Genomic DNA, 12,813 nt, shown 5'->3' with positions numbered 1-12,813 from the left:
ACAAAAATTAGTTGGGCATATTGGCATGCACCTGTAGTCCCAGCTACTTGGGAGGCTGAGGCAGAAGAATTGCTTTAACCCGGGAGGCAGAGGTTGCAGTGAGCCAAGATCGCACCACTGCACTCTAGCCTGAGCAACAGAGCGAGACTCCATCTCAAAAAAGAGAAAAAAAAGATTGCTTCGGCTATTTGAGGTCTTTTGTGGTTCCACATGAATTTTAGAATTTTTTTTTCTAATTCTGTAAAAAATTCCATTGGAATTTCATAGGGATTTCATTGAATATGTAGATATCTTTCGGTATATGAACATTTTAACAATATTAATTTTTTCAACTCATGAGCATGGGATATATTTCATTTATTTTGCATCTTCAATTTCTTTCATCAATATTTTATAGTTTTCTGTATGCAGTTCTTTTATCTCTTTTATTAAGATTATTTCATATTATTTTATTTTTGATGCCATTTTAAATGGGATGGTTTTCTTGATTTTTTTGATACATTTTTGTTACTGTATAGAAACACTACTGATTTTTATATGTTGATTTTGTACCCTGCAACTTTGCTGAATTCATTATTTAGTTCTAACAGATTTTCTTGTGAGTCTCTAGGATTTTTTATTTAAAAATATGTTATCTGTAGATATAGTTTTGTTTCTTCATTTTTATTTGGATACCTTTTATTTCTTCTTCTTGTCTAATTGTTCTGGTTAGGACTTCCAGTACTATTTTGAGTAGAATTGTAGAATTGGCAAGAGTGATCATCCTTGCCTTGTTCTAGAACTTAGAAGAAAGCTTTCAGTTTTCTACCACTGAGTATGATGTTCTCTGTGGGCTTTCCATATATGGCCTTTATTGTGTTGAGGAAAATTCCTTTTATACCTAATTTGTTTGAGTTTTTTTTAATCCTGAAAGGATGTTAAGTATTTTCAAACGCTTTTTCTGCATGTGTTCAGATGATCATGTGATTTTTATCCTGCATTCTGTTAATGTGTTTTATCACATTGATTGATTTACATATGTTGAATCATTCTTGCATCTGAGTAACCAATCCCATTTGGTCAAGGTGTATAATGCTGAATTTGGTTTGCTAATATTTTGCAAATTTACTTTGTTTGTATTTTATTCAGGACGTTTGTTCCCATGTTCATCAGAGATACTGGCCTGTAGTTTTCTTTTCTTGTGATGCCTTTGCCTGGCATTGCTATCAGGGTGAGTCTGGCTTCATAAAAGCCATTTAGAAGTGCTCTCTCTCATTTTTTGAGCATTTAAGAGGGATCGGTATTAATTCTTCATTAAACTTTTGGTGGAATTCAGCTGTGAAGCCATCTAGCTGTAGGCTTTTCTTTGTTAGCAGGGTTTTGGTTACTGGTTTAATCCTTATTTGTTATTGGTCTGCTCAAGCTTTCTATGTGACTCAGTCATGGAAGATTATATGTTTCTAGAAATAGGTCTGTTTCTTCTAGTTGTTGAATTTGTTGGTGTATAATTGTTCATAATAGTCCCTTATGATCTTTTTTATTTCTATGGCAATGGTTGTAATATCTCCTCTTCTAGTTCTGATTTTATTTAATTTTCTCTCTTTTTTTCTTAATTGATTTAACTAAGGGTTTATCAATTTTGTTTGTGTTCTTAAAAACCAGCTTTTAATTTTATCGATCTTTTCTACTGTTTTTCTACCCTTGATTTCATTTATTTTTGCTCTAATCTTTATTATTTTCTTCCATTTGCTAACTTTGGGCTTAGCTTGGTCTTCTTTTACTAGTTCCTTTACTTATACTCTTAGGTTGTTCATTTGAGATCTTTTTGTTTTCTTACTGTAGATGTTTATCTCTAAACTTCCTTTATAGGACTGCTCTTTTTTTGCCTTCTATGTTTTAGCACGTTGTTTTTGTTTTTGTCGGTCTTGAGGTATTTTCTAATTTCCCTTTGGATTTCTTCCTTGACTCAATGACTATTCAAGAATTTATTGTGAAATTTCCATTTTACAGATTCCATTTGTGAATTTTTCCATTTTACTTTTGTTATTGATTTTTAGTTTGCTAATGTTGCGGTTTGGGAAAGATACTTGAAATGATTTCAGTCTTCTTAAATTTGTTTTGTCACCTAGCAAGTGACTTACCTTCAAGAAGAGAAACTAGTGGTAGGGCAGCACTTATCACATACATGCACCTGGTTTCCTGTGTGGGGTGCTCAGAGCCTGTTTGTGGGGATGTTGATGCAACAGGAAAACATAAAGTTTTAAAATTTATAATACACAGGTGTTTCCCAGGAAATGGTGCAAGGTGGCTAAACCTTGATCTATTTTATATATCTGAAATATTTTAATTCTGCTATCAAATTTGATTGATAAATGTCTGGGTATAGAATACTATGTTAGACATAATTTCCCCTCAAATTGTTTTCTGGATTTCTGAAACATTTTAAAAGTTGGATGCCATTTTTTATGGTATTTCTTTGTATGGGGCTTCTTTCTTTCACTCTGGGTGTATCACTGTACCTCTTTATTGCCAACTTTCTGAGAAAGTATGATGGTATGTCTTGATGTGAGCTCTTTTAATTTATCATGTGGGAGTCCTCAGTGCGTTTTTTTCAAACCTGGACTCTCATGTTCTTTAATTCTGGAGAATTGATTGAAAGCATGAATGGAAGTTGTCTTGAAATTGCTTTCTCTACCTAGAAGAAATTCCTATTCACATTTTAAATTAAAGTTTAAAGATTACATTCATCGAAAATATTTCTGACTACCCTTCTCATCTCCAAAAAGAAAACATAGCAAAACACCACCACCAACAACCTAGGGACATGGTTCTACCATGTGTACATGTCTACTGATCCTTTTATAGTAATGATTTTTACTGTTTATTTCTCTGTCCAGGCAGTGAGAAATTTGGTCAGGACTAAATTTTAAAGAGAAATGATTTCAAAAAAGTTCTTCCTGACACATATGTATTTACCTTACTGAAATAAATTCATTGTTTTTAAGAAGAATAAAATGCCTGTTGTAAGATAGTAAGAACTACAAAAAACAAAACAAAAAATCCCACAGTGTACTCCATTTCTTAGAAAAGTGGGTAAGCAATACTAGTGCTGTGGGCAGCTGAGCTGGGCTGTGTGAGGAACAACTGCTGGGTTCCTGCTGCTGGATTTAAAAGGGCAGAGGTCTACTGGATTCTATTTGCATTACTATAAGTGTACTAGAGACCGAAATCTTATTTCTTGAGGTGAATGTCTCTCTGGTGACTCTAGCAGGAAGCTAGGCTTTTCCATCAGAAAGAGTAGGTACCTAAAGGATAAAAATAGTTCTTTCCACTCTGAGTGAAGGCAAAGCAAAGTGAAATTTAAAGAAAGTAAAGACAGGTCATTTGGAGAGATGAGCAGAAAAATGAGCAAACCTACTAATTCCTTGTGTCAGGAAGAATTAGTTGTTTAAATAAAGTATACATGTAAATAGCGTATTAATTGTGTTGGAACTCTATTTTGTATAATGTGCTTCATATGTAGCTGTTATTCTCTTAAGCAATATGTGTAATATTAATTCTAAATAAATCTCCCTATTTAGATTAATATTGTTTATTTACCAAACATAGAAAGGCAATATGCCTAATTCCAGATGATGTCTATCTACAAAGTAATCACTAAACTAGTATCCAGACTGGGTCTCACAAAACTTGAGTCAGTATATTTGTTCTCCTTTGCTCCCCTGACCCCCAGCTTTACTGAGGTATAACTGACAAATAAATACTGTATACATTAAAGGTATACAGCATGTTGTTTTCATATACATATGTATTGTAAAATAATTATCATTATCAAGTTAATTAACATATATTTCACCTCACATAGCATTTTTTTTTTTTTGGAGAGAATGTTTATTATCTACACTCTTAGCTAATTTTGAGTGTACAATAGAAGACTATTAACTATAGTCACCACGCTGGACATTAGATATCCAGACCTTATTCGTCCAGCATAACTGAAATTTCATTCCCTTTGACCAGCATCTTCCCATTTCCCCCACCTCCCAGTTCCTGGAAACCACCATCCTACTCTCTACTTCCACTTTTTAAGAGATCATGCAGTATTGTGTTTCTGTGTTTGGCTTATTTCACTTGACATAAAGTCCTCCAGGTTCATCTATGCTGTCATGAAGGAAAGGATTTCCTTCCTTCTTAAGGCTGAATAATATTCCACTATATTGAAAGAGTTAAGAATATGCTACCCAAAAATATGCTTCTCTGGTTTATTGACTATTTTGAATTAAAGAAACTTAAAAAATAGCAGTTGCAAAAAGATTACTCTGACCTTCATTGTTTTTTAAAAGTAGAAGATAAAATTCTCACATGAAGGGTGTTTTCCTCCAACTAAAAGAATAACATTCGAATAATTAAGAAAGGGAAGTTGAAACTGTTTGTGTGAAAATGCCATTGGATTTTTTTAATTGATTGATTATTTATTTTTCCTTTCAACTTTTTATTGTAGGTTCAGGTGTACATGTGCAGATTTGTTGCATGGGTAAACTGTATGACATGGGGATTTGGTGTACATATTATTTCATCACCCAGGTAATGAGCAGCATAGTACTCTATAGGTAGTTTTTAGATCCCCTCCCTCCTCCCACTCTCTACCTTCAATAGACCACACTGTTTATTGTTCCCTTCTTAATGTCCATGTTTACTTAATGTTTAGCTCCTACTTATAAGTGAGAACATGTGGTATTTGGTTTTCTGTTCCTGCATTAATTTTCTTAGCATAATGGCCTCCAACTCTATCCATGTTGCTGCAAAGGATATGATTTCATTCTATTTTTATGGCTGCATAGTATTCTATGGTTTATATGTACCACATTTTCTTTATCCAGTCTCCATTGATGGGCATCTAGGTTGAGTTTATGTCTTTGCTAGTGCTGTGATGAGCATATGTGTGCATGTGTCTTTATGGTAGAATGATTTACATCCCTTTGGGTATATACCCAGCAATAGGATTACTGGGTCAATAAATTCAATAATAACAAGCAATGGGGAAAGAACTAGCTATCCAATACCAAACTAAAGCTCTAATATTTTTGTATAACCATTAGGAAGAGGAAGAAGAAGAGGGAGGAAGGAGAGAAAAAAGGAAGGAAGGAAAGAAGAAAAGAAAAAAGAATGAGAGAGAGAGAACAAAAGCATCACCAATAAGTGACGCTAGGAGCTAGCCCAATGCAGAAGAATGAAATTGGACCCTTTTCTTTCACCATATACAAAAACTCACTCAAGATGGGTGAAAGACTTAAATGTAAAACCTAAAACTGTAAAAACCCTAGGAAACCTACGAAATGTCATTCTGGATATAGACCCTGGCAAGGATTTCATGATAAAGACTCCAAAAGCAATTGCAACAGAAACAAAAATTGACAAGTAGAATATAATTAAAGAGCTTCTGCACAGCAAAATAAACAATCAAAAGGGTAAACAGACAACCTACAGAATGGGAAAATGTATTTGCAAACTATGCATCTGATAAAGGTCTAATATCCAGCATCTATAAGGAACTTAAACAACTCTACAAGAAAAAACAAACAACCCCACCAAAATTTTCTTAGAATAGTCAAAAAAATAGACAAAGAACATGAACAGAGAAGACATGCATGCAGCCAAGAGAAGACATGCTTCTCAAGAGAAGACATGCATGCAGCCAACAAGCATATGAAAAAAATACTCAACATCACTCATCATCTGAGAACTGCAAACCAAAACCACAATGATTTACCGTCTCACAGCAGTCAGAATGGCTATTATAAAAAGTCAAAAAATAACAGATACTGGTGAGGTTGTGAAGAAAAGGGAATGCTTATACACTGCCTGTGGGAATGTAAATTAGTTCAGCCACTGTGGGAAGCAATTTAGAGATTTCTCAAAGAACTTAGAACTTCCACTGGAATTTTGATAAGGATTGCATTGAATTTGGTCTCTCTTTGGGTACCATGAACACTTTAACAATAGTAATCCATAAGCATGTGGTATTTTTCCATATATTTGCTTCCATTCAAATTTTTGAACACTTTGAAGTTTACATAAATCTTTCTTTTCTTTTCATTCCTCTTTCTTTCTGTCTCTTACTTTCTTTGTTCTTCCTTCCTTCTTTCCTTCCTTCCTTCCTCTTCTTCTTACTTCTAGTGGCAATAAGAACATATTCTAGCTTTAATCTGGTGATTTATATTTAGTGAATTTTTAAAAATTGAGAATAATGATTGAACTGTAATTGGAAATAGACCTAAAGCAGAGAGAAACCTTTCCTCTTTGTTTTTCTCTTTTTTTTTCCTGTTCTCCACTGCTTCTTAATTGATCGATTTGCTTTTCTAGTCATAAGGAAGTTGTTTATTATAAAATTAAATTGATATTGTCATTTCTGGAGATAGCTACAAGTGGCCAGAAGATGTTTTTAAAATTGAAAGCTAACTGCCAATTGAAAAAAAATCCCAACAAAACAGAAACTGCCTTCCAAGGTTGTCTTGGGAAGAGGATGCACAGGGAGTTGTGTGGGGGCTATGCATTTCTACTGTGAAACTAGTAATCACTTAAGGGGTTAAGGGGGGAAACCACAATGTGTCTGTGTGTTTCTTTGTGTTTCCACAGCCTGCATGACTCCTTGTTTTCTTCTTCTTTTTTTTTTTCTTTTTTTTTCCTTCTTTTTTTTTTTTTTTTTTTTGAGATGGAGTCTCGCTCTGTAGCCCAGGCTGGAGTGTAGTGGCAAGATCTTTGCTCACTGTAACCTCCACCTTCCAGGTTCAAGCAATTCTCCTGCCTCAGCCTCCCGAGTAGCTGGGACTACAGGAACCCGCCACCACACCTAGCTAATTTTTGTATTTTTAGTAGAGACTGGGTTTCACCATATTGGCCAGGCTGGTCTCGAAATCCTGACCTTGTGATCTGCCCACCTCAGCCTCCCAAAGTGTTGGGATTATAGGTATATGCCACCGTGCCCAGCCTTTATTTTCTTATACACACTGCAATTGGTTTGTTGTTTGTTCTTCTTCCCTGCAGGGAATAAAGTGAGAAGTACAGAAAAGATGTTAAACAGCTGTTTGAGTAAACCTTCCTTAGCCGAATTGGCTGAATATTAATTGGCTGAATATGACTAGTCTCACAACATGCAGAAGATGAGGTGTTAGTAGGCAAGGAAAAGTCTAGAGGAATGTGTGAATATTTTGCATCTCTAGTTGGTAAACTTAATGGATCACATATTACAGTTGATGGTCACTGCTGTGTTCTGCACATGGCAGCCCCAGGTGTGACTATAGAAGGTTTGCTTATTAGAGGCCAAGTGTAGCAGAAAAACCTTAACTCCTCTTGCTATTACTCCCAGGTTCCTGGGTTGGGGTACTGATAAATTAGTTGACAAACCTAATATTCTTTAGAGACAAAACCCACAAAATATTCATAGACTTTAATAATGCTGTAGTGACTGCATCATTTCCCTAGCTTTGCCTCTGTTTTCATATCTGAGAAGACAAAGGGTCTAAAAAAACTTGCCTAAGGTCCAAATTTAACCCACATCTTTTAACACCATGCATTATATTTTCTCATTGAACCCTAGAAATCATAACTGTTAAAAATGCAAGACTGTGTTTGCTCTCTTACAGAAGGGTAAAGCTTCTATTACGATATTTCAGTTCTCATCCTAAGAGTGAACAAAAAGTTCTGCTGATGTCTGATGTGCAATCTCCTAAAAATTCCAGTTTCCAAGGGCTCCTGAAATATTTCAGGATCTATAATTTCTGAAATATTTCAGGATCTATAATTTCTGAAATATTTCAGGGAGGAATACGGAGTAGACATCAAGAACACGGATTCTAAAGTCAGACTGGTGGAGTTTATGGCTTAAAAGTAGCAACTGAATTTCTCTCTCAATGCTCTTATTTGTAAAATGGAGAAAATAATATGTCTCGCTAGTTAATGAACATTATCGGGTGCACACCTTATAGCTGAAAGGAAGTATCAGTAGTACTTAGAAGTATGAGCTTTAGAACCTTAATACTAGGATAAAATCTAGGCTCCTCTACTTGTTAGCTGTATAGTCTTGGGAAAGTCACTCAATCTCTCAGTGGCTCCGTTTTCTCATACGTAAAGTGAGAATATTAGTATCTACATAAACTGTCGGACGTAAAAAGGGAGAACTTAATACATACAAAACTCTTATAATAGTCCCCTGTACATAGGTACTCAATGAATATTAGCTGTTACTGTTACCATTTATACTTAGAATTGCCGTATAATTTATCATCCATATTGAAACACTTTTGGGATTTGAAAGGGATCACTATTAAGAATTATGCAGTTATTTAAGAAATAACTTCAACACTGATGACTCAACCCCTTTTCCAAAGAATTTCAAATACTAATACAGAAGATAAACTTGTAAGCAAGCATTCAAATCAATCATGAAAAATGTTATAATAGCAGTAAAGTCGAAGATTAATTGGGACATGTCTAATTTCATATTTTGATAAATAAGAAGATTTCACAGAGAAGGCAAACCTTGAACAAGATTCATAAGTAAATGGGAACTTTAATCTTCTAAACTAGAAGAAAAAGAAAAGTGAAATAAGGGCAAGTTATTTAAGAAATAACTTGGCCGGGTGCGGTGGCTCATGCCTATAATCCCAGCACTTTGGGAGGCTGAAGTGGGTGGATCACGAGGTCAGGAGCTTGAGACCATCCTGGCTAACACAGTGAAACCCCGTCTCTACTGAAAATACAAAAAAAAAAAAAAAAAAAAAAAAATTAGCCCGGCGTGGTGGTGGGCACGTGTAGTCCCAACTACTCCGGAGGCTGAGGCAGGAGAATGGCGTGAACCTGGGAGGCGGAGGTTGCAGTGAGCTGAGAGCATGCCACTGCACTCCAGCCTGGGGGACAGAGCAAGACTCCGTCTCAAAAAAAAAAGAAAAGAAAAAGAAATAACTTACATAACCCTTAGGAACTCTTACTTCAGGCTTTAAAAGGCAAGGAGCAAATAGTTTTAGGAGACTGATAACGATGTCACCTAAATTTGAGATACTAAAAAGAGATTAGTGCTCTCAACTATGTGAAATCTATTTCTCCTACTGTCTCAAATATAATCCTAGGAATGTGCTTATAAACAAAGCATTTCTGGGCCAGGATAGCAATGCTTCACATCATATTGTGCTGCAGTTTCCATCATGCTTAAACGACAGAGACATGAACGATAAATAAAGGTATAAAAATATTACAACCTACCACCTCAAAAACAAAAAAATCACATTATTTATGGAGTTCAGAGCTTGGAGATTCAAGTATTGGTTACAGTTTTATTTTGAAAAGAATCCTACAATTTATGTGGTTTTTATTTCTCATGTTTATATTAAAAGAAAAGCTAATAAACTCTATTTTAATTTTAAAAAAAGAATTATCCAGGAACAATAGAAAGTACAGTAACTGTCCCATTGCAAACAGAAATGCAAGGTCACTCATTTAATACTGAGTCAGGATTCATAGGTTCTCTGTAGGTTGGTAGATCTTGCTTGCCTTTCTTCAGGTCTTTGACCCTGAGAATGAAACTGCTGGCCGGGCGCAGTGGCTCACGCCTGTAATCCCAGCACTTTGGGAGGCCGAGGCGGGCAGATCACGAGGTCAGGAGATCGAGACCATCCTGGCTAACACAGTAAAACCCTGTCTCTACTAAAAATACAAAAAATTAGCTGGGCATGGTGGCACGTGCCTGTAGTCCCAGCTACTTGGGAGGCTGAGGCAGGAGAATCACTTGAACCCGGGAGGTGGAGGTTGCAGTGAGCTGAGATCATGCCACTGCACTCCAGCCTGGGCGACAGAGCGAGACTCCGTCTCGAAAAAAAAAAAAAAAAAAAAAAGAATGAAGCTGCTTTCTAAGGTAGATTCTGGGAATTTTCAAGCTTTCTCACCTTCTAGTACCTTAGTACTTCCCGCCGCTTATGACCTTCTCTTCCAAGCAGCTTCAAAAATTGGCCATGTGCTCCCAGACACAGCCAGGAAGGTCAGGCCCTCCACTCTGTTCCACATTCTCTTTACATGAAACAAAACCAATGAAGTTAGAACAAAAACTCAGAGCCAAATTCTAAATCAGCTTATTTTTGCACATTTCTCTCTCCTTCTAAAACAACTTTCAAGAAAAAAGGAGTAAAGCTCAGAATCATACTACAGTATGCATTTGTGGTGTCTTTTTCTATGTGCAAGGCCCAAGACAGACTGCCCCTGTCTTCCTCAGGTGGGTCCCCAGAGGAGGAGTGGGAGAACGCAAATAGAGGACAGCACGTGGACGAAGCCTCCACGAGAAGCTTTCTCTGAGCGGCGTTAGACTCTGTAATCACTTTAAAGATAAAGAGGTCGGCGGGGGATGTGGGTCTTCTACATTAGGAAAAAATGGGCAGAATTAATTTGATAGTGCGTGTGGAGGTTCGCCTTACCCTCTCCTGTATTTTGGCAGTATCAAAAGTTATATCAAATTAACCATGTGGTAATAAGGTGGGACTATTCCCCCAAACCATTAAAAAAATAATACAACCAAAGTAAAAAGAGAGAAAACAGGTTAGCACAAGTAACAGGTAACTCTTTTATGAGATGATAATGAAAACGATGGAAATGAATTTTGATTTTAGTTTATATATATTTTTGAACAAACTGGAAAGTTATGCCCAATTCTGCTAAGTACTAGGGGAGTGGTACCTCTCCAGAGGTGTGCCCAGTTCTTTCCATAACATGGCATGTTCTTAGCGGTCTAAGTTAAGTGTTGAGTTTTCTAAGTGGGCCCAGCACGCACTAGTTTCTCACTTGTGGGTCTTTGCTGTACTGAGGTCTTTGCATTGGGTGTCCTGTAGCCCACTTGCCCTTATTTCACCTTTCTTTTTCTTCTAGTTTAGAAGATTAAAGTTCCCATTTACTTATGAATCTTGTTCAAGGTTTGCCTTCTCTGTGAAATCTTCTTATTTATCAAAATATGAAATTAGACATGTCCCAATTAATCTTCGACTTTACTGCTATTATAACATTTTTCATGATTGATTTGAATGCTTGCTTACAAGTTTATCTTCTGTATTAGTATTTGAAATTCTTTGGAAAAGGGGTTGAGTCATCAGTGTTGAATGAATTAGAGTCCTAGCATGGATCCCTCAGAACTCGCCCCAAGGAGAACAGAGCCTCTTTGTGAGCTTCAGGGTTAAGTTTGAAAATTTGGAGCTAGATCCTATGGTAAGTTCATCCATATTTTCTTAGGTCAATAGCAGGTCATAATGTTATGGGTGGGAGATGCCTAGAACTTGGTTTGCACGCCTTAGATTAGCACTTATATGAGGTTACATAAAATTCTTTGGTTTATTGTTTGGCATATCCTTTGGTCCGCTTAAATAGTAATTTTTAATGGTATTGACTGAAGACCATTTGCGTTTGAATTGTTTGGGTAGGTTTTTACAATTGTAAATTTCTCTACCTAATCCCAGAAGAGAGGAATCAGAATAACCAGTGATGAGTCCTGGGATTCTGCATTTTAACAAGACCTTTGGGTAATACTTAAGCTAAATAATATTTGAGAACCAATGTGGCCAGGCGCAGTGGTTCATGCCTGTAATCCCAGCACTTTGGGAGGCCGAGGCGGGCAGATCACCTGAGGTCGGGAGTTCAAGACCAGCCTGACCAACATGGAGAAACCCCATCTCTACTAAAAATACAAAATTAGCTGGGCGTGGTGGCACATGCCTGTAATCCTAGCTACTGGGGAGGCTGAGGCAGGAGAATGGCTTGAACCTGGGAGGCGGAGGTTGCAGTGAGCCGAGATCGTGCCATTGCACTCCAGCCTGGGCAACAAGAGCGAAACTCCATCCATCTCAAAAAAAAAAAAAAAGAGAACCAATGCTCTAGTAAATTATAGCGTGGTAACTTCCTTATACTTAAATACATTGAGTGACATCAATATAATAATACTGGCTAAGTTTTATTGATTATATTTTAGGTACTTAGTAATAGTGGTAAGATCTATGACTACACTGTAATTTGACAGGTATATTATGAGAATTATGAGTTAATGTACATGCCTGAAAGACACTACACAGCTGTGAAGTATAATTATCCCTTTATTTCCATGTGCTCACAGAATGATTTGATAGCAGAATTGGAAACTGAATCCAGGAAACTCATTTTTCTTCCACCAGTGCTTACTAGAGTGACTTGCAGGAATAAAGAGGAAATTTGTTATTGAATACCCAGCTCCTAGCCGGGCGCAGTGGCTCACGCCTGTAATCCTAGCACTTTGGAATGCCAAGGTGGGCGGATCACTTGAGATCGGGAGTTCGAGACCAGCTTGGCCAATATGGTGAAGCCCCGTCTCTACTAAAAATACAAAATGGGGCATGCTTGTAATTCCAGCTACCTGGGAAGCTGAGGCGGGAGAATTGCTTGAACCCAGGAGGCGGAGGTTTCAGTAAACCGAGATTGTGCCACTGCACTCCAGCCTGGGTGACAGAGTGAGACTCCGTCTCAAAAAAAATAATAATAATAATAAATTTAAAAATAAATAATAATACCCAGCTGCAGTATTATTTCATTTGTGACCTCCCTAAGTGTCTCGCTATTTAGTACCATTAGCACATACCCTTTTTGATCTATCCTATTTTTCCATGACTAATTAAACCTACTTTACAAAACACTTAGGTTCAACTGTTTCTTCAGGCCTTTATTTCCTTATGAAGGCTCCCATACTATGTAAAACTTTTATTAAATAAATTTGTGTGCTCTTCTCTTGTTAATCCGTCTTGTTATAGGAGCCTCTGCTAGGAACATAGGATGGAT

General features: G+C 36.7%; 1 long non-coding RNA gene across 1 annotated transcript; it reads left to right on the top strand.

The window, feature by feature from the left end:
* The first annotated feature begins 1,696 nt into the window (after positions 1–1,696).
* Positions 1,697–6,395, top strand: LOC124906264 (uncharacterized). The gene is made up of 2 exons (XR_007095993.1): positions 1,697–4,563; positions 5,079–6,395. It is a non-coding gene; the product is annotated as an uncharacterized LOC124906264 (long non-coding RNA).
* The last annotated feature ends 6,418 nt before the right edge of the window (positions 6,396–12,813 follow it).

Source organism: Homo sapiens, chromosome 3 (assembly GCF_000001405.40).
Source record: "Homo sapiens chromosome 3, GRCh38.p14 Primary Assembly".
NCBI lineage: Eukaryota > Metazoa > Chordata > Mammalia > Primates > Hominidae > Homo > Homo sapiens.
Note: the sequence above shows the minus strand (reverse complement) of the source record. Positions and strands in the feature narration are given on the sequence as shown.